General features: G+C 38.2%; 2 long non-coding RNA genes across 9 annotated transcripts in view, besides 1 other annotated feature; both read right to left on the bottom strand.

The window, feature by feature from the left end:
• LOC105379011 (uncharacterized) overlaps positions 1 to 17,055 on the bottom strand; it is a 58,354-nt gene extending 41,299 nt beyond the window's left edge. For all 6 annotated transcript variants that reach the window (XR_001742694.1, XR_001742693.1, XR_001742700.1 and 3 more), the window contains exon 1: positions 15,891 to 17,055. This is a non-coding gene — a long non-coding RNA (uncharacterized LOC105379011). The remainder of the gene's footprint in view (positions 1 to 15,890) is intronic.
• LOC105379013 (uncharacterized) overlaps positions 1 to 26,810 on the bottom strand; it is a 406,546-nt gene that overhangs the window by 123,210 nt on the left and 256,526 nt on the right. The gene's annotated exons all lie outside the window — the stretch shown is intronic.
• Positions 16,103 to 16,152: an enhancer, noted in NCBI's record as "active region_22635". NCBI's record gives its function as "activates an Ori minimal core promoter by ATAC-STARR-seq in GM12878 lymphoblastoid cells {active_cell/tissue: GM12878}" and the evidence as "EXISTENCE:reporter gene assay evidence [ECO:0000049][PMID:35858748]".

Here is a 26,810-nt window from a genome sequence, read left to right on the forward strand (position 1 = left end):
CAATGGTAAAAATAAGGCAATGTTCTGTGAATTCTGGGACTCTGGACCTACTCGACACGCTGACCTCCACCTGCCTTTTGACCGCAGCTTCACATCTGACCAGTCTGAGTGCCTGTGCTTTGCAAGGGGAATTCTGGAGAGTCGTTCTCCCTTTCAGAGCGCAAGGTCAATCTCAGGTGGTCCCCCCACAGCAGAGGCTGGATGGGAGAATGGATACATGATAGTTGCTTTGAAGAAAGAATGGATTTCTGGCAAATGTGTGTTTAAGAGGACAAATCCATGAGTTGGATAATGACCATTTTGCTTATTTAGCCCCTTGACCCATTTCTAGCAAAATCACTGCCAATAACACAGCTCCTGGAGATCTCAAACAAAGGGAGCCAAGAATAATCATCATGGGCTGCTTGCAGATAAGAGGGCATGACCAGTGGTGAGCTGAGCTCTACCTCCACTCAGACCTAAGGGACACTAGGCCTGTTCTTACCTCCCAACTCCTAGAAAGCCTGAATCCTGGCTAGGAAAAGCACAAATTTTGACAGAGGAAATGTGATTGGAAGAACTCTGGAAAAGTCTTCTCAGTTAATTACATCTAAATATCTCTCCCACCCCTCATGGTCTCTGAAAGCTCCATCACAAGACATTTCTTTGTGTTAACACATGAAGGTACCTGGGTAAATGCAGTCATAAAGGGGTAAACATTAACCTTGATCCCCCATGCATACTTTAGTTCTAAATAGTTTATCACACTGCCCAGGTATTTTTAAGTACCTCCAGGCTAGGAAAACAGAAGAAGTAAGGTTGACACCAAGTTTGGAATAGAAATCTCAGAAAAGAGTGCACAGACCAATAGGGTAACTTCTAGCCAGACAAATATCAATGGGTGATCCTAAGTAGAGAAAAAAATTACATAAAGGAATGACTTAATGTGGCAATGGACATAAAAGGAGACTTGAGGCCAGGCACAGTGGCTCACACCTGTAATCCCAGCGCTTTGGGAGGACAAGACCGGCAGATCACTTGAGGTTGGGAGTTTGAGACCAGCCTGGCCAACATGGTGAAACCCTGTCTCTACAAAAATACAAAAATTAACCAGGCATCGTGGCACACAACTGTAATCCCAGCTACTTGGGAGGCTGAGGCAGGAGAATCACTTGAACCTGGGAGGCAGAGGTTGCAGTGAGCCAAGATCGCACCACTGCACTCTAGCCTGGTGACGAGCAAGACTCAAGATGAGTGGAATTAACATTCCCCAAGGCAGCCATGAACAGAAAGCTTTCCCAGATGAATCGCCCATCAGTGGCAGGTAACTTTTCACTTCTACAATGTAGGAATTCCTTTATTCATATACCCATTTAACAAGCAGGTTCACAGTGCCTAGTATAAGCCCTGAGAGAAGTGTGTGAGACAGAGCACAGGGTGGTTCTTGACTCCGTAGAGGCTCCTTCACGCTCCAGCTTTTCCCTAATGCCTGCCACTCAGGTCCTCTTCCTCACTTGGTCCTCCTCCTGCCCAGGTCACATAGCACCTCTGAGCACATCCCTTTCTACTACAGTGTGAGGAAATTTCTTGAGCAACAAGCTCTTTGCTGTTGAGGGAAACTGCAAGTTCCATTTCACATGGCCCCTGAAGCAGTCTAGGGCTGAAGGATCACACTGTCCTGAGGGCCCCCACCTCCAGTGTCTAACCACCCAGGCTAAATCTCAGGCCTCTCTTCCAGGCTTTAGCTCTGAAATTCACAAATTCTTCTTCCTTCTTTTCCCAGGCTTGAGCCCAACTCTCTCTTGCAGCCTCTTTTTCCTAGAGAATTAGGCATCTCTATTTCCTGTCCTGATTCCAGGTCCTTTCCGCTGTTGGCCACTGTCAAAACTCTTCCATCAGCAATCACCTGCTCTGCTGATTTAGCTTGGGCCTCCCGACGGGACGTTGCCAAATAAACTTCTCCCGGCTGAACTGCCCTGAGGAAGGTACCTACCTCCAAAGTGCTGTCTCTCCCCTCTGTTCTCCCATCCTCCTTTCTATTGCATATTTACTTCTTTGACAAACCTAACTCTTAAGGATGTGGCTGGTTTAGACCCTCATGACTCAGTGTCTGGCCTAGCAGGACTGGCCTCGCCCAGAAGCTTTTTAGAAATGTAGAACTCTAGGGCCGCACTGGAGACCTGTTGAATCAGAATGTGCATTTTAGCAGGTGATTAGTATGCATACAAATGTTTTGATAGTCCAGCTTTAGACCTCTTTTCCCAGACACCCCACTCAGGGATGTTCATCCTCTGTTCCTTCAAGCTGAAACCTCCCTCCATCCCTGAGAGTTCCAGGCCTATCTGACCAGCCTGGCAGTGTTGTCAGCCTTCAGGTACCAGATGGCTTTTCTCAGTAATTTGCTTTGACTCACCCCTCCACCTGTGGGAGGCACCCTTTATCTTGTCCTCCAAGGTGCTATGGGGGCTGGCAGTTCCCCTCGGTCTGGGCTTCCCCTCCTCAAACAAGGAATTGTACCAAGTATTCTTTTAAAGAGACTTTGCTTTAAAAAACCCAGTATGGAATATTCTTTACAAAATCCCATTTACAACGTCAATATGCCAGGGAGAAGGGTCATCTCAAGGGCTTACTCTACATTTGTAGAAACTTTTTAAAGAAAATTGTAGATTCACATGCAATTATAAGAAATAGTACAGAGAGATCCTCTACGCCCTTCACTCAGTTTCCCCCGATGGCAACATCCTGTATAACTGGAGTTTAATATCACAACTAGGCTATTGACATTGATACAATACTTCAACCGTATTCAGATTTCACCAGTTTTACCTGCACTCATTTATATATTTTTTTGATGCACTTTTTATCATGTGGGTGGACCCATGTGACCACCACCACCATTACAATATAGAAGAGTTTCATCATAAGGTTCCCTGATGACACTCATTTATAGCCACAACCACTTCTCTCCCCACCCCAGGCAACCACTCACCTGTTCTCCATCTCTATAATTTGTTATTTCAGTAAATACAAACACACACACACAAACACACACACACACACACGTAACCCTTGACCCTTGTACACCATGGGGGTTAGGAATATTGACCCCCTACACAGTAAAAAAAAATTCTACCTGTAACTTTTGACTCCCCAAAACTTTAAGCACTAATGGCCTACTGTTGACCAGAACCTTACCCATAACATAACATAAACAGTCAATTAAAACACATATTTTGTATGTTATCTGTATTATATACTGTATTCTTACAACAAAGTAAGCTAGAGAAGAGAAAGTGTTATTAAGAAAATCATAAGGAAGAGAAAATATATTTACTATTAATTAGGTGGAAGTGGATCAGAATAAAGGTCTTTATCCTCGTCCTCTTCACATTGAATAGGCTGAGGAGGAGGGGTTGATCTTTCTGTCTCAGGGGTAGTGGAGACAGAAGTAAATCTGTGTATAAGTGAAACCACACAGTTCAAACCAGTGTTATTCAAGGGTCAACTGTGTGTGTGTACACACACACATACACAAAATATATATACACAGGTATTGTGGGTTTCGTTCCAGACCACTGCAATAAAACAAATTTATCACAATAAATAAAGTGAATCACACAAATATTTTGATTTCCCAATGCAATAAAAGTTATGTTTATACTATACTATCATCTATTAAGTGTCCAATCATGTCTAAAAAACAATGTAATATCATGATTTTAAAATACTTTATTGCTAAAATATGCTAACAATCATCTTAGCCTTCAGCAAGTTGTAATTGTTTTGCTGGTGAAGGGTCTTGCTTCAGTGTTAATGGCTGCTGACTGATCAGGGTCGTGGTTGCTAAAGATCAAGGTGGCTGTGGTAATTTCTTAAAATAAGACAATGAAGTAGTTTGCCACATTGATGGACTCTTCATTTCACAAAGATTTTTCTGTAGCATGTGGTGCTGTTTGATAACATTTTTTCCACAGTAGACCTTCTTTCATAACTGGAGTCAATCCTTTCAAACCCTGCCACTGTTTTATCAACTAAGTTTATGGAATATTCAAAATTCTTTGTTGTCATTTCAACAACATTTATATCACCTTCACCAGGAGTAGATTCCATCTCAAGAAACAACTTTCTTTGCTGACCCATAAGAAGCAACTCCTCTTCCATTAAATTTGATCATGAGATTGTAGTAATTGTCACATCTTCGGGCTCCACTTCTAATTCTGTTTTTTTAAATATTTCCACCAAATCTGCGGTTGCTTCTTCCACTGAAGTCTTGAACCCCTCCAAGTCAACCATGAGGGTGGGAATCAATTTCTTTCAAACTCCTGTTAATGTTGATATTTTGACCTCCTCCCATAAATCATGAATGTTCTTAATGGAATCTAGAATGGTGAATCCTTTCCAAAAGGTTGTCAGTTTACTTTTCCAAGCTCCATCAGAGGAATCACTATCTAGGGCCGCTATAGCCTTACAAAATACATTTCTTAAATAATAAGACTTGAAAGTCGAAATTACTCCTTGATCCATGGGCTGCAGAATGGATGTTGTGTTAGCGGGCATGAAAGCAATATTAATCTCCTGTACATCTCCATCAGAGCTCTTGGGTGATCAGGTGTATTGTCAATGAGCAGTAATATTTTGAATCTTTTTTCTGAGCATTAGGTCTCAATGGCAGACTTAAAATATTCAGTAAGCCGTGCTGTAAACAGATGTGCTATCATCCAGGCTCTGCTGTTCCATTTACAGGGCCCAGGCTGAGTAGATTTAGCATAATTCTTAAGGGTTCTAAGACTTTCAGAATTATAAATGAACATTATATATGTTCATTTGTATATAATATACTGTATATAATATATACATAGTATATTATATACAATGTATATAACATATAAATATATACTATATGTGTATATACATATGTGTGTATATTATATATAATCATAAGGTATGTAATCTTTTCATATTAGATTTTTTTATGCAGCATAATTCTCTAGAGAGTCATCTAGCTGTTGCGTGTATCAGTAGTTCATTCTTTTATATTTCTAAGTAGTATTCCATTGTATGAATATACCACCGTTTGTTTAACTGATCACCTATTGAAGGACATTTGGGTTGTTTCTAGTTTTTGGCCATTACAAATAAAGCTGCTATGAATACTCCTACAAAGGTTTTTGTGTGAACATAAGTTTTCATAATTCTGGGGTAAATGCCCAAAAGTACAATTTGCTGAGTCATATGGTAGTTGCTTGTTTAGTTTTGTAAGAAATTGCCATAATCATTTCCAGAGTGGCCATACCATTTTACATTTCTGTCCACAATGTATGAGTGATCCTTTGCTCTACATTTTAAATGTTTTTTATCAGGCTAAATGTCAAAATCCAATTACCATCCATAGTTTCCTTTAAGCACCCAAAGAAACAATAACAGAAAAGGAAACATTTGCCCTCTCTGAGTTGCATGATTTATGCCTCTGCCCCCTAAAAGGCTCTGTCTGCCCACGCTCACTTTGATTTTGCAGTCTGCCTTCATGTTTTTCCCTCCTTTGGGTGCCTTCCAAATTGCTTATCAACATTGGCTGCAATTTCTTTGTGTCTTGTTCCGATCATAATCTGCTAATCCTCCCCAGATGCCACGCCAAGTCCCAGCGGTGCAGTCGGGCCTGCAACCACTGCTCATGACTCAGCACCTTGGACAGAAGAGCTGAGGCTCTGGCCCCAGGCGCCCAGGCCAGCACTAGCCACTCACTCTTTCCGAGCCCAAGGTACATCTCTGCCTCCATTCCTATTTGGTCAGGAGCAAAGCAGAATTGTGGGAAGGGTGAAGAGTCCAGGCAGAAATTGAACAAGACTGGGGCAGGAACATATTGACAGGGATGTCCAAGCAGGAAATGGGCAGAACTTCAGCACAGGGGACTTTGCCATTTGAGCCAGGTCTTTCCTCAGTTCTGAACATCATAATCATAACAATGCTAGTTATCATTTATTGGGTATTTCATGTGGGTCAGGAACTTTTAAAATACACTTTCCATGTACTCTTTTACTAAACCCTCATTGACACTCTATAAGAACACATCTTTTCTCTCCTCCATTTTACAAGTGAGGAATCTCAGGCCTGAGATCACACAAGAATTTAAATCCAGACAACTTCAGAGCCCACGGATTTAACCCCATTGTTCTATTCTCTCCCAAATGCGTGAATCTCTAAAGCACAATGTTCTACAAACCTTAAGAAAGAGTCCACAGGTCCTGGGTTCTCTTCCTACTAATTCATACCCAAATATTTGCATGCCAGGAAGGAGGGCCCATGTGGAGGTGGAGAAGTATGTCACAAGCAACAGCTTGTGCAGCCTGTCAATAAACCTTTGGTTCTTGTCTTAGGAATCGAGTGACAGTGTCCAGTTCATATAAACAAATGTATTCTAGCAATTCACAAATTCTAGGATAAAAGAAGACAACTAAAAAGTTGCTGCCCATCTAAAAATGTTTGAAGGGATGTGGTATGCAGCAAGCTTCAGGCGAGAAATGCAGGCAAGCGTGTCTCTCGTCCACCTGCTCATGACCCTGCGACATACCACAAACTAGCAAGGACACAGTGCAGCTTCATGGAATACCAGGGCTCCAAATGCATATTTGTTACATACCATTCACTCTGGCAACATGCATTCCACATGCCCCAGAATTCTGCAACTTGTGCTGTTTTGCCTTCTGATGAGACAGCTTGCTGACAATAAACACTTCTTGATAGAGGACCTTCACTCCCAAGCTGAATGTTATTTGACCTGTGTGTTAAATTCTTTTCCCCCCTTACTATTAAGCCACACATCTGTATTCTCCACACACCCCATCTTGAGTAGCCTGCTAAATATTCTGTCTTGTCCCAAAGAGGATTGCCTTCTAGATGATTTCTTGTCTCCTTAACACAGTCTTGTCATGGGACCTCCTGACGCTTAAGGCTGCCAAGAACAACTTGCAGTTCTTGCAGTCAACACACTCCATGCTCGTCCTGGCCTTCTCTGACACTCAGGGAGCCCCACCTTTCCTGGGCACATTCCATCCCTACTCATCCCACCCACTCCTTTTTTATTCCTTCATTGGGTGGTGCCACTGAAGCTTGCAAACTGCTCTTTTCCCTTAGGCAAGGGATTTGGGCTTGACAATGTCATCTGTTCTATGTGGTCTAGGGCCGAAAGTTAGGATTTAAGAATCCAAAAGTTGTGGCTTCCAATCTTGACATTCCCAGGTACCAGCAGTGTTCAAAATCCCCAAGTTACCAACAACCCATGTGTAACATAAAATCCCTGGCTCTACCTTCATTACAGGGAACACCCCTCAATATCAACTTTACCTCAGTGCCTTATTTCATTGCCTCGAAACAACAGATGTCTCCTTTTTATTTAATGCCCCCTACCTTTGCTTATTTCCTTCTTTCATTCTGCCTTTTATAGCTGCTGTTTTGTATGTTTCATGTATCTTCAGAAATTGGTTGCAATTCTTTCTGATTACAAATTGTGGAAAGAATAAAGGGAGAAAGTGAAGAACAAAGGAAAAATGGAAGGAAGGAGGGAAGGAAGGAACAAAGGAGGAAAAGTAAAGAAAAGAAAGAGAGGAGAGGGAAGGAAAGGAGAGGAGGGAGGAAAGGAGGGCAAAAGGAAGAAAGGAAGAAGGGAGGGAGGGAGGGAAGAAAGACAAAAATGCAAACAAAATTAAGAAATTTCAGACAGAACTCTGTCCATAGCAGATAAGTTCAGAATACCTTAGCAAATTTAGCTTTTCTTTTAAGCAAAGCAAGCAGCAACCAGAGGGAGGAAGCACCTAATATTCATAGATAAAGAATTTAATAGCTCAAATTTCTTGCATTCTATGCATAACTTCATAGGTGAGTTAAACTTTCTGATTCTTTCTTTCTCAATCTGTAAAATGAAGTGGGAATTAAGGAACTGGACCACAATAACTAAAACAGGACATTCTCTTATAAAATATTGATGTTACAAATAAAAAGCAGCATTACTGAGATACATTAAGAACTCTCTTCCAAGCAGTATGCTAATTATAGAAATGAAAGAATCATTTGTCACTACTATTTATCTAGGCAGATTCACAAATTCTTATCGCAGTTTAAAATGTATCCTTTTTATTTCTGATCAAAAAACACTTGATAATTATGGGAGTGATTGCAAATAGCCCAAAGCATGCCAGCAGCTTTCCTCACCTTTGCCCTGCTCAGTTCCCATAGAAAAGCACTGACACTGGCGCAATCTACTTTACATTTCAGGGCTTGCTCTGCTAGGCCTCTTAACCTCTCTGTCTTTAATACTGCTGAGTCTTCCTGAAACTCTCCCCTTTCATTGGCTTCTATGCCACTACTCGTTGCCTATTCTTCCTCAGTCTTCTCACTTTCTGTTCCTAGGTCCTCTCCTGTCCTAACGGTGGCCTCTTCTCTGCTCACTCTGCACCCTCTCCCTTCCAAGGCTCCAGTGTTTCCCAATGGCAACATAATTGGTTGGCATTTTGAGTGGCACACATCATTGTTTAGGACTGCCCTTTTATTTCAGAACATTTAGCATCCTGGTCCCCTCTCACACATGTCAGCAATGCTACACCCCATCATTGTGACAACAAAAAACAACTCATATATTTCAAAATGCCCCTTCTAGGGGCAGCACTACTCACAGTGTGTTAGAAATTCTGTGCCATTTTACCATACCCAGCCCAAATATCTCCCCTATGCTTTAGTCCATTGTCAACTAGATATCTTCAGTTAGATGATGCAAAAAAACCCTTCACACTTCTGTCTGCAGCAAAGCCGATCTCCCCAAATCTGATTTTCCTCTTGAATTCCTATCTCTGTTGGTCATGCATAATCACCAGAGCCAGAAACCTAGATGTCAACTTTGATTCCTCCCTCTTCTCAAATCCCAGATCAATTAATCTCCAGGTCTTTTCAACTGTACCTCATGAATAACTTTCACATCTATCATTTCCCCTCTATTTCCACATAATAACTGTCCCTTTTCCAACCCACTGATTCTCAGTATGGGATCTTAAGCCTGCTGGTTGGCCATGAAAGACCTCCCAATAAGCTACAAAATGATCATATGTATATATAAACCTCTAAACTCATATTCTTCTCTTATCGAGTAAAAATTGGTTCTATAAAGTCTTCGTTCTCTAAATTCATTTTTACTAGAGACTGAAATTCCTGGAGTAAGTATGTTAAGGTATTGTTTGTCCCACTACATGGGTCAGGGTCAAAAGAGTCTGCACCACTGTCCTAGACAATAAGCTCCTCAATGTGCAAAATAATCTCATTTTTCTCCCACCAGTTTTCTCCTTACCAAGTCCATAGTCCCCTGCATTTTCAGAATTATCTTTCTAAAACATTAACTTGACATTGTCACTCCTCTGCTTAAATTTATTCAATAGTTGTTTATCACCTAAAACACACACCTCAGGCAACCATATGTGAAATCTCAAGATATGGTCCCTCTCTCTCTCTCAACTCAGTCCCCAAACTTTACACAAAGTTCTACCAATACCAAACTCTTATAGTGTCCCAAGGACACCTTGCTGCTCAGTGCCCTTCTGCTTTTGCACATGTGCCTCTCTTGGCCTAGAGTTATCTGCCATTGACTTGAGTTGTATTTTAAAAGTATCAATCCCAGTATTGTGTAGAGTAGGGGTCCCCAGCCCCCAGGCCATGGACCAGTACCAGTCTGTGGCCTGTTACGAACCAGGCTGCACAGCGGGAGGTGAGTGGTAGGGGAGCAAGCATTATTGCCTGAGCTCTGCCTCCAGTAAGATGATCAGTGGCATTAGATTTTCATAAGAGCATGAACCCTATAATAAACTGCTCATGCAAGGAACCTAGGTTGTGCCCTCCTTATGAGAATCTAATGCCTGATAATCTGAGGTGGAACAGTTTCATCCCCAAACCATCTCCCTGACCCTGGTCCATAGAAAAATTGTCTTCCATGAAACTGGTCCTTGGTGCCAAAACGGTTGAGGGACTGCTCGTATAGAGAACAGACTTCGAGGGCATGGGGAAGAAGCAGCAAAACAAAAGCTGCTGGTGGTTTGACCCATGGTGATAGCACTGAAAGGGGAGAATAATGATCAATTCTTAGATGTTTGTAAAGTATTCATTTTATATATTTCATTTAAAAGCCTACCAAAATGTTTTTCCTAGTTGACAGGCAGCAAAACTGAGCCATGAAGTCATTGCCTTAGTCCATTCAGGCTGCTGAAACAAAATTCCATAACTGGGTGGCTTATAAACAACAGAAATGCATTTCTCACAGTTCTGGAGGCTGGGAAGTTCAAGATCAATGTACTCGCAGATTCAGTGTCTGGTGAGGGCTTACTTCCCAGACAACCATCTTTTCACTTTAACATTAATGGCAGAAAGGACAAGGGATCTCTTGGGACTTCTTTTTTAAGAACACTAATCTCATTCATGAGGGCTTCATCCTCATGATCTAGTTACCTCCTAAGGCCCCATCTCCTAATATTGATTAGTATTAGGATTTCAACATATGAATGTGGGAGGAGGGGTACAAGCATTCAGTCTATAGCAGTCATATAGCATCTCATCAGTATTGTATTATGTATGAGTATTGTACCTGAGAGTCCCAGAATTCATTTCCTCAATTAAATAGTTATTTTCCACTCAAAACTTCTTTGTAAACTGAGCAGGGGTGTGATTTCTGTCTCTCTTGAGAATCTTAAAAGTTAAGTGCATATCTCAGTTATCTTGAAAAGAATTCCCCATTCCCCAGTTTGAGGTTGTTTTTATTGTGTTGTTTTATTTTCAGCAATGCTAGTAAGAAAAGCCGTGACATTAGTAATGTTTCAATGTTGCTTTTGCTCCCCTTTCAACCCTCTTCTCTTAATCTTACCATATACCCATGCCTCATAAGGTCCTTTATCCTAATTGTTTTATTGGTAATAGTAGTAGTTGTTGTTGTCACTAGGAGTAGAAATAATTATAATACTACAGTGCATTAACTCAGACTCACAGAATCTTGTCATGCTAAGAGTTTACATGAATTACTTCATTTAATTCTTACAGGAACCATAAAAAGGTGAGCAGCATCTTCATACCAATTTTACAGATAAGACAATAGAGGCTCCAAGAAGTTATGAAATGTATTCAAGATCATTCATCTAGCCAATTGTACAACAGAATTTAAATCCAGATTTCATGGCCTGTACTCTTACCTACTACTCCATGTTGGCTCTCTTACAGCCATTTATGTAGATTCCAACTATCGTGTAACTGTGAATTAATCTAATGAAGCATTTAAAAATAAATATTTTAAAATTTAAAAAGTAATTTTATGTTTGTTGTAGAAAGTTCAGAAAACTTAGAAAAGCACAAAGAATAAAATATTTATATAATTACATCATACAGGGATTGTTAATATTTTTGTATTCTCTACATCATACTTATAATAGATTAATATTGTGATTAAACTGAACAAATTTTTTGTAATCTGATTTTCTAAAACTTATTAAAATTATTAAAGCATTTTCTCATATCATTGTTATATTTCCCAAGATCATTGTAGTCATATAGCATGCTATTATGTGGATGCATAAACAAATTTATTTCATCAGTTTTATACTGTTGAATATTTTGGTTAATTTTTTTTTTATTTTAGGTCACAAATTTCCTTACTGATATAGCAGTTAAGAAGAAATCACGTAGGCAGTTAGCAAGGGTATGAGAGTCCCTGGTAAAGCTTTTCTTTTTGATGAAAAGCAGCCCCAGATCATTTTCTAACAAAGACCAGCCTGTAAAGTTGAGCTGCAGACATAGACAAGCAAGCTGGAGCTTGCGTGAGTGAATGCCAGCAGGAACTAAGAACTAGACATTTTCAAGAGGGCAGCTCCATCTTCCTGTCTCTGCCAGCCACATGTACTGTAAGGAGCAGACAAGATGGCGCAGATCAACTAGAAAGTCTATTTGCATAGTAAGACTAAGTTGGGACAACCAGCTTTCCCAGCACGCTACATAAATTTCATACCTTACCTGATGTGACCAATCTATGAGCCCTCTGCAAATCAGACACTGCCTCCTCAAAATGGACTATAAAATTCGGTGCATTCACCACTAGCCGGTCCTTTCCCTTGGAGACCCCTCTCTCTACGGAGAGAGCCGTCTCTTTTTCTTCTCTTCTGTTTATTAAACCTCTGATCCTAAACTTCTCGCTTGTGTCTGTGTCCTAAATTTTCTTGGCATGCAACAATTACCCAGACAACGTAGCCACTCCATTACTATAATTAATTATTTAATTAAAACTTTCATATATGTCTGATTATTTCTTCTGGATAAATACCTAAAAGAAGAATTTCCAGTTCAAAAGTAAAAAAAAATATAAGCTTTTTATTCTTTTTTGCCAAAATACACTCCAAAGATTGTTCTAATCTAAATTTTAACCAGTAGTTTTTTAATGTGGCCTGCTTTTATACACTCTAGCTAATACTAGTTTTATTATTTGGAATTGTTTTCTTTTCCTTTTAATACTTCTTCCCATGTATTTTATTATTTTATTTTATTTTATTTGTTTTTTTGAGACAAGGTCTCACTCTGTCACGCAGGCTGGAGTGCAGTGGTATGATCTCAGCTCACTGCAACCTCCACTTCCTGGGCTCAAGCGATCCTCCCACCTCAGCCCCCCAAGTAGCCATGTATTTTAAAATCAAAAGGGGAAGGACTTTTGCTTCCTTCCATGAAGGAGTAGTAATTGCATGGTCTTTGCACACCCTCCTCCAAAACCCATAAACAACTAGAAAACTAAATGAAATATATAAAATGTCTGTTTTCCAGCATTAGACAAGAGGCAGTGTAGGTCTATGATCCCTGAAAGCATGACTTGCAGCCTGGAAACAATTTCCTAACCTCAGGGCAGGAAAGGGGGCCCATGCAGAGCTTGGCAGTTTCTCTGAATTGAGGAGAGATAGGAGCTCAGAAAGGCTGAGGCAGCTGGAAATTACAGGGCAGCATTCCAGAGAAGGAGGAGCTACACAAAGGAAGAATGCCAGAAACCTGCATAAGAGTCCCATTGAGTGGCTGAATCCAAAACTGCACATGTGTAAGTGAACTCCACAAATCCAGGCAAAGAACAACTGCCGGGGTTTTCTATCGGAACAATTCTCTGAGCTCATTCAGGGCTGAATGACATTCAACGTTTTATTCCTTGGAGTGGAAAGACTCCATTTGAATATCTAGGTATTCAATAAAGACTACAGAAAAGCCAAGCCTTAGTAGTAGGAATAAACTAACACTACAATAAGGCTACTCTAGACCTATCCTAACAAAGCTTAACAATAAGGCTCAAAAGGATAAAACTGATATGCAAGTAACGGCCTGCCAAAGCAAATATCAACACTCTAAAAGACGATAACAAAATCCAAATAGTCAATAATATAACATTCCTAACATCTAACATCCAATAAAAAATTGTTAGATATGCCAAGAAGTAGCAAAATGTGACCCTTAATCATGAGAAAAATAAGCGAATGGAAATAAACCCAAAAGTGGCTAAGAAGTACAATTAGCAGACAAGAACTTTAAAAGAACTACTATCAAAACCCAGCAATTTAAGAGAAAGCAAGGACATAAATAAAGAAGTTGAATATATGAAAAGGAGCCACACAAATGTTCTAGAGTTCAAAAATAACATATCTGAAGTGAAAAAAGATTCACTTAATGGTCTTAACAGCAGATAAGACACTGTAGAAAAAAGGCCAGCAAACTTGAAGATATAGCAATAGAAACTATCCTAAATCAAGCACAGAGAGCAAAAAGGCTGGAAAAAAATGAATGAAACTTTAGTAAGCTGTCAGACAAGCAGTCTAACGTACATGTAATTGGAGTCTCAGATTGAGAGATAAGAGAGGAAGAAGTAAAAAAAAATTTAAAGAAATAATAGTTGAAAATATTCTAAAATTGATAAAAATAATAAGCCTACATGTTCAAAAAGCATGAGAAATGCAGGGCAAACACAAAAAAACACCACACCAAGTGTGATAGCCAACCTTCAAGATGGCTTCCAGTGACCCTCATCTGCAGGTATTCATGCCGTTGTATGGTTTCCTTCCATACAAAATAGTGCTGACCTGTGTGACCAATTGGATATTGTGGAGATAATGGCATGTGACTTCTGAGTCTAGATCACAAAAGGCACTGCAGCTTCTGCCTTGCTTTCTTTTGAATCACTTGTTCTGAGAGAAGCCAGCTACAATGTCATGAAGACACTCAAGCAGCTCTGTGAAGAAGCTCATATGTAAAGAAATTGAGGCCTCCTATCCAAGTCACCATCAACTTGCCAGACACATGAGTGAGCCATCTTGGAAGCAGACCCTGCAGCGTCAGTCAAGCTTTTAGATGACTCCAGGCCCAGTCAACATCTTGACTGAACCTTCATTAGAGACCCACAGCAAAACCAAGTAAGCTACACCTGAATATCAAACCCACAGAAATGGCAAGAGATAAGTGCTCGTTGTTTTAAGCCACTTGACTTTGGGGCATAATACTTTACACAGAAATAATTAGTTGTGTTTCTATTTGCTCATAAAAAAAGAGGAAAACAAAATCAAAAAAAAAAAAAACCCTTAACAATAGCTATGAAACAGCATCTACTGAAAATTACAGAACATTACTAAGAGAAATTAAAGTAGACCTAAATAAATGGAGCTACCTACCGTGTTCACAGAGTAGAGGACACAAGACTATTAAATACCACTTTTTCCCAAATTAATCTATAGGTTCTAGCAATCTTTTCGTAGACACTGATAAGCTCATTCTAAAATGTATATGGAAATGCAATGAACCTAAAATAGCAAAATAAATCTTGAAGTAAGAACAAAGCTGGAGGCCTTATATGCCTTACGTCAAGAATTATTACAAAACTACAGAGCTCAAGATAATGTAGGGTTAGCATAAAAGTAAACATCTAGAAAAATGGAATGGAATACAAAGTCCAGATATGGATCACACATATGTGATCAATTGGCTTTAGCAAGGGTACAAAGACATTTCAGTGGTAAAAGGAAAAATTTCCAACATATGGTGTTGAAATTACTGGAAATATATGAGGGGAAAAATGAACATCAACTTTTATCACACGCAGCATGAAACAGTCCTAGAACTAAATGTAAAAGCTACAACTGTAAAATTTCTAGACAGAATTTCACAAAGAGAAAGTTTTTGTTCACAAAGAAACAGGAGAAAATCTTTGTGACCTTGAGATAGGCAAAGATTTCTTACGTAGTACACCAAAATCACAAATTATAAATGAAAAAATGATAAATTAGACATCATCAAAATTTAAAATTATTATTCTTCAAAAATCACTATTAAGGAAACAAAAAGGCAAATCACTAAACAGAAAAAATATTTGCATACATGTATAGCAAGGTGTCTAAATCTGGAAAATAGAAAGAACTAATAACTCGATAATAAAAAGGCAAACAAATTAAAAATGAGCAATGGATTTGAATAATAATTTCTTAAAAGAAGGTGTATGAATGGCCAGTAAGCACATGAAAAAGTGTTCAACTTTGAGTAATGAATTGTACACCTTAAATGGGTGAATTGGATGGTATGTGAATGATATCTTGATAACACTTACGTAAAAAATGAAACAATGAAGCTAGGAGTGGAGGAAGGAGTAAATTGCAAAGACACGTGATACAGAAAAAGTGGCAGATAGGAGGCAGGACTAACTTGCAGATCCCACCTGGACAGACACAGCAGTGTGTGGAGAGTCACATTGTGAACTTTTGCTCCAAGAACTCCTACAGGAACATACAGGGAAAGCCGAGAGAATCTACAAAGCCTGTGAAAGAGGTGGAATGCCACTGCAGCTCTGTGAGACAGCCAAGGAACTGTGAGTCCACTTTCTTTCTCACCTGGGAGTCTCGTAACCTGGGACAAGTTCTCAGCCTTGCTCACTGGTTGCCTGGAAATAAATTCAGTGCTGTTTGCGGGGACATGGTGGGAGTGAGACTGGACTTTTGGGCTGCATGGGAGACGGGTGAGGCCTGTGGTTGCCGGGTTTCCCCCACTTTCCTGGCAACCTGTGTGATGCAGCAGTGGCAGCCATAATCCCTCTGGGACCATAACTCCACTGGCCTGGGAAACCACAACTCCATCCCCCACAGCAGCTGCAGCAAGCTCCACCCAAGGAGAGTCTGAACTCAGACAGCCTAACCCCGCCTCAACGTGATGATCTTTCTCCACCCACCCTGGTAGCTGGAGACAAAGGACATAATCTCTTGGGAGCTCTATAGCCCTGCCCACCACCTGATACTTGGGCAAGCTTGTATCCTCCCTATACTACTGCAGCTGATGCACTTTTGAAAGTGCTACCTTTTGGCTGGAGGCCAGCCAACACAAAATCAGTGCACTTAAAAATACAACCACGGACCCCTCACAGAGTCTACTTCAGTTCCCTGCTACCTCCACCAGAGCAGGTGCTTGTATCCATGGCTGAAAGACCTGAAGACGGATAACATCACAGGACTCTTTGCAGATATTCCCCAGTACCGGCCTGGAGCCCAGTAGCTCCGCTGAGTGGCTAAATCCAGAACAGAAATAACAATAATGGCAGTTTGGCTCTCAGGATGCCCCATCCCTAGAAGAAGGGGGAAAGCACCAAATCAAGGGAGCACTTCGTGGGACAAAAGAATCTGAACAGCAGCCCTTGAGTCCCAGATCTTTCCTCTGACATAGTCTACCCAAAAAAGAAGGAACCAGAAAAACAATTCTGGTAATATGACAAAACAAGATTATTTAATACCCCCAAAAGATTATACTAGCTCACCAGCAAAGATAAAATCTCTGAATTGCCAGGAGAAGAATTCAGAAGGTCGATTATTAAGCTAATCAAGGAGGCACCAGAGAAATACGAAGTTCAGCTTAAAGAAATAAAAACAATGATACAGGATATGAATGGAAAAATCTCCAGTGAAATAGATAACATAAACAAAAGACAATCACAAATTCTGGAAATGAAGGACACACTTAGAGAAATGCAAAATGCACTGGAAAGTCTCAGCAATAGAATTGAACAAGTAGAAGAAGAAACTTCAGAGCTCAAAGACAAGGCTTTAGAATTAACCCAATCCAACAAAAACAAAGAAAAAAAAATTTTTTAATGAACAAATCCTCCAAGAAGTTTGAGATTTTGTTAAACAACCACACCTAATAATAATTGGCATTCCCGAGGAAAAAGAGAACTCTACAAGTTTGGAAAACATATTTGAGGGAATAACCAAGGAAAACTTCCCTGGCCTTGTAGATCTAGACATCCAAATACAAGAAGCTCAAAGAACAACTGGGAAATTAATTGCAAAAAGATCATCAGGTTATCTAAAGTCAAGACAAAGGAAAGAATCTTAAGAGCTGTGAGGCAAAAGCATCAGGTAACCTACAAAGCAAAACCTATCAGATTAATAGCAGATTTATCAGCAGAAATCCTACAAGCTAGAAGGGACTGGGATCCTATCTTTAACCTCCTTAAAGAAAACAAGTAACAGCCAAGAATCTTGTATCCAGTGAAACTAAGCTTCATAAATGAAGGAAAGATACAGTCTTTTTCAGACAAACAAATGCTGAGAGAATTCACCACTACCAAGCCAGCACTACAAGAACTGCTAAAAGGAGCTCTAAATCTTGAAATGAATCCTCAAAATACACCAAAATAGAATCTCCTTAAAGCATAAATCTAATAGGACCTATAAAGCAATAATAAAATGAAAAAACACAAGGTATTCCGGCAACAAATAGTATGATTAATAGAATAGTACCTCACATCTCAATACTAACATTGAATGTAAATGGCCTAAGTGTTCCACTTAAAAGATACGGAATGGCAGAATGGATAAGAATTTACCAACCAACTATCTCCTTCCTTCGAGAGACTCATCTAACACATAAGTACTCACATAAACTTAAGATAAAGGGGTGGAAAAAGATATTCCATGCAAATGGACACCAGAAGCAAACAGGAGTAGCTACTCTTAAATTATACAAAACAAACTTTAAAGCAACAGCAGTTAAAAAAGATGAAGAGGGACATTATATAATGATAAAAGGACTAGTCCAACAAGAAAATACCACAATCCTAAATATATATGCACCTAACACTAGAGCTCCCAAATTTATAAAACAATTACTACTAGACTTAAGAAATGGGATAGATGGCAACACAATAATAGTAGGAGACTTCAATACTCCAATGACAGCACTAGACAGGTCATCAAGATAGAAAGTCAACAAAGAAACAATGGACTTAAACTATACTCTAGAACAAATGGACTTAACAGATATTTACAGAACATTCTACCCAACAACTGCAGAATATACATTCTATTCATCAGCACATGGAACATTCTCCAAGATAGACCATAAGATAGGCCACAAAACAAGTCTCAACAAATTTAAGAAAATCGAAATTATAGCACATACTCTCTCAGACCACAGTGGAATAAAATTGGAAATCAACTCCAAAAGGGAGCCTCAAAACCAAGCAAATACATAGAAATTAAATAACTTAGTCTTGAGTGATTGTTGGGTCAACAATGAAATCAAGATGGAAATTTAAAAATTCTTTGAACTGAGTGATAATAGTAACACAACCTACTGAAACCTCTGGGATACAGCAAAGGCAGTGCTAAGAGGAAAGTTCATAGCATTAAATGCCTACATCAAAAAGTCTGAAAGAGTACAAATAATCTTAGGTCACATCTCAAGGAACTAGAGAAATAAGAACAAACCTAACCCAAACCCAGCAGAAGAAAAGAAAGAAAGATCAGAGCAGAACTAAATGAAATTGAAACAGTATATGTATATATATACGTATACATACACACACACATATACATATATATATATACACACATATATACATATATATACATGCACATATATATATATGAGACAAATGAAACAAAAAGCTGGTTCTTTGAAAAGGTAAATAAAATTGGTAGATTATTTGTGAGATTAATTAAGAAAAGAAGAGAGAAGTTCCAAATAAGCTCAATTAGAAATAAAACGAGAGATATTACAACCAATACCACAGAAATACAAAAGATCATTCAAGGCTACTATGAACACCTTTATGCACATAAACTAGAAAACATAGAGGAGATGGATAAATTGCTGAAACTATACAACCCTCCTAGATTAAAGCAGGTAGAAATAGAAACTCTGAACGGACCAACAATAAACAGTGAAATACCAAAAAAAAGGTCCAGGACCAGAAAGATTCACAGCTGAATTGTATCAGACATTCAAAGAATAATTGGTACTAATTCTACTGATACTATTCCAAAAGATAGAGAAAAAGGAAATCCTCCCTAAATCATTCTACGAAGCTAGTATCACCCTAATACCAAAACTAAGAAAGGACATAACAAAAAGAGAAAACTACAGACCAATATCCCTGATGAACATAGATGCAAAAATCCTCAACAAAATACTAGCTAACAGAATCCAACAGCATATCAAAAAGAGTATCCACTATGATCAAGTGGATTTCATACCAGGATGCAGGGATGTTTTAACATACCCAAATCAATAAATGTAATATACCACATAAACAGAATTAAAAATCACATGATCGTCTCAATCAATGCCAAAAAAGCATTTGACAAAATCCAGCAACGCTTTATGACTAAAACCCTCAGCAAAATCATCATAGAAGGGACATACCTTAAGGTAATAAAAGCCATCTATGACAAACCCACATCCAACATTATACTGAACAGGGAAAAGTTGAAAGCATTACCCCTGAGAACTGGAACAAGACAAGGATGCCCACTTTCACCACCTCTATTCAACATAGCACTGGAAGTCCTAGCCAGAGCAATCCAACGAGAGAAAGAAATAAAGGGCATCCAAATCATTAAAGAGGAGGTCAAACTGTCAAACTACCGCTGTTTGCTGATGACATGATCGTATACCTAGAAAACCCTAAAGACTCATCCGAAAAACCCTGAGAACTGGTAAATGAATTCAGCAAAGTTTCAGAAAACAAAATTAATGTACACAAATTAGCAGCTCTGCTATACACCAAGAGCAATCAAGCTGAGGATCAAATCAAGAACTCCACCCCTTTTACAATAGCTGCAAAAAATAAAATACTTAGGAATATACCTAACCAAGGAGGTGAAAGACCTTAAAAACAAAACTTCAAAACACTGCTGAAAGAAATTATAGGTGACACAAACAAATGGAAACACCCCCTATGCTCATGAATGAGCAGAATCAATATTGTAAAAATGACCATACTGCGAAAAGCAATCTACAAGTTCAATGCAATTCCCATCAAAATACCACCATCATTCTTCACAGAACTAGAAAAAAAAATCCTAAAATTCATATGGAAACCAAAAAGGAACCTGCATAGCCAAAGCGAGACTAAACAAAAAGAACAAATCTGGAGGCATCACATTACCTGACTTTATATAGTATAAATAGGCCATAGTCACCAAAACAGCATGGTACTGGTATAAAAATAAGCACATAGACCAATGGAACTGAACAGAGAAAATAGAAATAAAGCCAAATACTTACAGCTAACTGATCTTCAACAAAGCCAACAAAACCATGGAGTAGAGAAAGGACTCCCTATTTAACAAATGGTGCTGGGATAATTGACAAGCCACATGTAGGAGAATGAAACTGAATCCTCATCTCTCACCTTATCCAAAAACCAACTCAAGATGGATCAAAGACTTAAATCTAAGACCTGAAACCATAAAAATTCTAGAAGATAACATCAGAAAATCCCTTCTAGACATTGGCTTAGGCACAGACTTCATGACCAAGAACCCAAAAGCAAATGCAACAAAAACAAAGATAAATAGATGGAACTTAATTAAACTAAAAAGCTTCTGCACAGTAAAAGAAATAATCAGCAGAGTAAACAGGCAACCCACAGAGTGGGAGAAAATCTTCGCAATCTATGCTTCCAACAAAGGACAAATATCCAGAATCTACAAGGAATTCAAACAAATCAGCAAGGAAAAAACAAACAATCCCATCAAAAAGTGGTTTAAGGACCTGAATAGATAATTCTCAAAAGAAGACATGCTAATGGCCAACAAACATATGAAAAAATGCTCAACATCACTAATGATCAGGGAAATCAAATCAAAACCACAATGTGATATCACCTTACTCCCACAAGAATGGCCATAATCAAAAAGTCAAAAAAACAATAGACATTGGCATGAATGTGGTGAAAAGGGAACACTTTTACACCGTTGGTGGGAATGTAAACCAGTACAATCACTATCGAAAACAGTGTTGAGATTCCTTAAAGAACTAAAAGTAGATCTACCATTTGTTTTTGTTAGTTTGTTTGTGTTTTGAGACAGAGTCTCACTCTATCGCCCAGGCTGGAGTGCTGTGGCGCGATCTCAGTTCACTGCAAACTCCATCTCCCAGATTCAAGTGATTCTCATGCCTCAGCCTTCCAAGTAGCTGGGATTACAGGTGTGTGCCACTACATCTGGCTAATTTTTGTATTTTTAGTAGAGATGGGGTTTCACCATGTTGGCCAGGCTGGTCCCAAACTCCTGACCTCAGGAGATCAGCCTGCCTCAGCTTCCCAAAGTACTGGGATTACAGGCATGAATCACCATGCTCGGCTAGATCTACCATTTGATCCAGCAATACCACTCCTGGGTATCTACCCAGAGGAAGAGAAGTCATCATAAGAAAAAGATACTTGCACACGCGTGTTTGTAGCAGCACATTTCACAATTGCAAAAATATGGAACCAGCCCAAATGCCCATCAATTAATGACTGGATAAAGATAATGCAGTGTGTGTGTGTGTGTGTGTGTGTGTGTGTGTGTGTGTGTGTATGAAATATATATATTTGAAATACTACTTAGCCACAAAAAGAAATAAATTAATGGTATTTGTAGCAGCCTGGATGGAATTGGAGACCATTATTCTAGGTGAAGTAACTCAGGAATGGAAAACCAAACATTATATGTTCTGACTTGTAAGTGCAAGCTAAGCTACAAGGACACAAAGGCATAAGAATGATACAATGGACTTTGGGGACTCGGGAAAGGGTGGGAGGCAGGTGAGGGATAAAAGACTGCACATTGGGTACAGTTTACACTGCTCAGGTGATAGGCACACCAAAATCTCAGAAATCACCACTGAAGAACTTATTCATGTACAAATAATAATAATAAAATAAATAAATATTAGGGCTTGGTGATGGGCCACTGTAAGATACAATAGCAAAAAATTAATTAAATCATACAATTTTTAAAAAGGTATGTGAGGTGATGAAATGATGAAAATGTTCAGTATCTTGATTGTAGCAGTAGTTTCATGGGTGTATGCAACTCTAAAAATTAATCAAATTGTACACTTTAACTGAATTCAGCTTATCGTATGTAAGCAATCAGGTTGCTTTTATAAGATGTGTAAACTGAAAAGTCTCCAGCATTTATTTCCCATCCCCAGATGCAATTAACATTGTTATACACTTGTATATTCTGTAGACATTTTATGCATGTGGAAATAAATACTTTTTTTTTTTTTTTCGAGACAAGGTTCGCTCTTGTTGCCCAGGCTGGAGTGCAATGGTGCAATCTTGGCTCACTGCAACCTCCGCCTCCCTGGTTCAGCGATTCTCCTGCCTCAGCCTCCCAAGTAGATGGGATTACAGGCATGCGCCACCACGCCTGGCTAATTTTTTGTATTTTTAGTAGAGACGGGGTTTCTCCATGTTGGTCAGGCTGGTCTCGAACTCCCGACCTCAGGTGATCCACCTGCTTCTGCCTCCCAAAGTGGTGGGATTACAGGGGTGAGCCACCACACCCAGCCCTTGGAAATACATTCTTATATACATTGTTTTCCCTTTCTTAAAACAAATGGTACCATACTATGCACACTTTTATACATCTTGTGTTTTTTTCACTAAATATATTTTGAAGATAATTCTCTATCAGAATATAAGAAACTCCATTATCCTTTTTTGCATCTGCTTAGAATTAGGTGGTATGGATGTAGTATGCTTAATCAGTATTTTATTAATTTATATCTATGTTATTTTCACTCTTGATATTACATAAAGTGTCGAAGTGAATAAGACTTGTATATATGTAATTTCATGGGTTTATCTATCCAGAGAGTAAATATGTATCCAAAAGAAGGCTAGAACAAAAAATATAGACCTTTGTAATTTTGATAAATATAGCAAATTTCCCTTCATGTGTATTGTATAAATTTATACTACCACCAGCAGTTATCAGGTTTTTTAATCTTTGACAATATTATAGGTGAAAAACAGTATCTCATTACTTGAATTTATGTTTCTCTAATTGTGAATAGGATTCAGTATCTGCTCAGTTTCCAGAATCATTAGTATTTCCATTTCTGTGAACCAGTGTTTATAATCGTTGACGATTTTTTTCTATTATATTCTTAAATATGGACTTATCTACTGGTAGAAGGTCTTTCTATATAAGCAAAGTATTTTTAACCTCTGTTGTGAGTTGCAAATATTTATTTCAGTTTGTTATATTTTGACTTGATCAGAATGAACTTTATCAAATATTTTTATTTTATAAAATTCTAACTTATCACACATTTCTTCTTGACTACTGAGTTTTGTGTTAGACCTAGATCTTTCCCATCTCATGACTATAAAAAATAATTCCCCAGAGTTTTCTAAGGCATTTTTATGGTTTTACATTTTATGCTCAAACCTTTAATCAATTGAGAATATGTTTTGCTGTAGCATTCTAATTACTCAAATTTTTCCCAGATGGCTACTCAATTGTTCCAATACCATTTATTGAATAATCCATCTTTTCTCCATTAATTTGAAATGACACCTTTATCATAGGCTATATTCCCATATGTATTTGAATCTATTTCTACACTTCTGTTCTGTTCTACTGATCTGCCTGTCTATTCATGTAACTATACCAGAATGTTCTAATTGTTATAGCTTTATAACAAGAGTCCATAGCTAGTAGGGCTAATTTCCCCTCCTTTTGTCTTTTTATATCAAATTTTTTTCTGGCTCTGCTTGTTTGCTTGTTTTTCTATTTGAGCTTCAGAACCAGTTTGTATAGTTCCACAGAATAAATCCTTTTGATATTTTTATTGGGATTATTTAAAGTTTATAGATTGTAGAATATTGACATATTTCTGATTTTGATCCTTTCTATCCAAAATCAATTACAGTATACCTTTTCATTTGTAAGTCTTCTTTTACTAGTCTTCAGTGCTAGTCTTTTACTAGTATTTACATTTTTTCTTTATAGAAATCATGCATATTCTCTTTCCAGGTGTTTTAACCTAATTGCATTGACTAGAATCTCTTAGAACTTGCTACATAAGAGCAAGGACGTCTTGGTCTTGTTCTTAATTTTAATGGGAATGTTTATAACATTTTCCTGTTAAGAGCCATGCTGTGTTTGTGGTATACATGTACATATTTACACTACCACCAGCAGCTATCAGGTTTTTTAATCTTTGGCAATATTATAGGCAAAAACCAGTATCTCATTTACTTGAATTTATGTTTTTCTACATAAATCTATGTAAACTCTGCATAGAAAGAAACATAAATCTATCCATTGAGAGATTTTTTTAAAATCAGAAATGAAAATTGAACTTTATTAAATGTTTTTTAGCTTCCATGAACACTATATTATTTTTCAATTTTACCTATTGCAGCAAATTTTAGTCATATATTTTTGTAACAATGAATAATTCTTACATTCCTGGAATAAACTTCATCATGCTGTATTCATTTCATATAGAGAGAGAGAGAGTGAGAGAGAGAGATGGGGTCTCACTGTGTTGCCCAGGTTGGTCTCAAACACCTGGGCTCAAGCAATCCTCCTGCCTTGGCCCCCCAAAGTAATGGGATTACAGGTATAAGCCACCACGCCTGGCATGTATTAATTTTTTAATATGCTGCTGAATGCCATTTGCTAGTTTTTAATTTGGGATTTTACATCAGTATTCATAAATGAAACTGATAGTCCAAACTTTTGTTCAATCTTTGCTGGATTTTGAAATCAGTGCTAGTTTCATTCTAAAATGTTTTGCAAACTTACCTGTGTTTGTGTGCGCACGTGTGTGTGTGTGTGTGTGTAAGAACAGTTTAAATTGTATTACAGTTCTCTCACCCTTAAAGATTTCATAGAATTCCCCTGTGACTCCATCAAGCCTAGTGATTCTTAGGAGGAAATTGTTTTATCCATTTATTTTTCCCATCATAAATGGTAAGATGACATTTTTATCTCTCCAGGTCAATTCTGGTCATTTATATTTTTCTATAAAGTTATACATTGCATCTGGATTCTCACATTTATTTCTATAAATGTGAACACAAAGTCTTGTGAATTCCTTTTTTTCTGTATATGAGGCTCTTTTACTATTGTAATTTTACAATTACAATATATGTTTTCTTGCTTTTTTCTTATTTAAGTAAGCTAGATTCTCTTTAAATTTTTTTCCCCACAGAACCAGCTGTTGGACTTGTTATACATATGTTATCCACTTTAAAATTTATTAATTTGTTTTATCCTTATTTTTATTTTTCTGCTTTCTTTAGCTTTGTTTCACTTTTATAATCTATTAAAATTGGGTGCTTTACTCAGCCGTTTTCATCCTTTATTATTACTATAAAATTTCCTCTAAGTACTATATAAAAAAACCTGTATCCTGATGAACCTCTTATGTTTTGTTTTCATTATCATTATTTTCTAGATAACTGGCACTCTCAGTTTTGATAATCTCTTTGGCTTAAAAAGTTAAACTTTTTTGGTTTTCTGAGGCATTCTCACTCTGTCACTCAGGCTGAAGTGCAGTGGCACAATCACGGCTCACTAAAGCCTCAATCTTCCCAGACTCAGGTGATCCTCACACCTCAGCCTCCTAAGTAGCTGGGATTACAGGTGCACACCGCCACACATGGCTAATTTTTGTATTTTTTTTGTAGAAATGGGATTTCTCCATGTTGCCCAGGCTGGTCTTGAACTCATGGGCTCATGTGACCCTCTACCTTGGCCTTCCAAAGTGCTGGGTTTACAGGCATGAGCCACTGCACCCAGCCAAAAAGTTAGTGTTTAAGAGAAGGTTATTCTTTCTCAGCTGTTATTTTTGTTTGGTTTCATGATTTTAATTTATGCACAGTGAATAGAATATGTTAAAACTGTTTCTATTTTTTTTTTTTTTTTTTTTTTTTGAGACAGAGTCTTACTCTTTCATTCAGGCTGGAGTGCAGTGGCACGATCTCACGCACTGCAACCTCCACACTTCCCAGCTTCAAGCGATTCTCGTGCCTCGGCCTCCTGAGTAGCTGAGAATACAGGCACACACCACCATGCCCAGCTAATTTTTGTATTTTTAGTAGAGACAGGGTTTCACCATGTTGGCCAGGCTGGCCTTGAACTCCCGACCTCAAGTGATCCACTCACCTCCGCCTCCCAAAGTGCTGGGATTACAAGCATTAGCCACCATGCCCCACCTGTTTCTACTTTTTGAAATGTATTCAGGTGTACCTTATACCCTGAAATTTGGTCAATTTTTATAAATGTTTCATAGATACAAAAGAGTGAATTTATCCTCAGTTTTCATTATACACAGGTTAGATACTTATATCAGTATAATCTCCCTCAATATTTTAATATAGGTTTTATTTCCTTATTTACTTTGACCATTTGTTCTTTCATAAATAACTAAACTTCCTCCTCCCCACTGAACTGTATGAATAATTTTTCTGTTTTTCCTAATGTTTGCCTTAATACCTTTATAATTCTATTTATATTACTTGA

This window comes from Homo sapiens, chromosome 5, assembly GCF_000001405.40.
Source record: "Homo sapiens chromosome 5, GRCh38.p14 Primary Assembly".
NCBI classification, from domain to species: domain Eukaryota; kingdom Metazoa; phylum Chordata; class Mammalia; order Primates; family Hominidae; genus Homo; species Homo sapiens.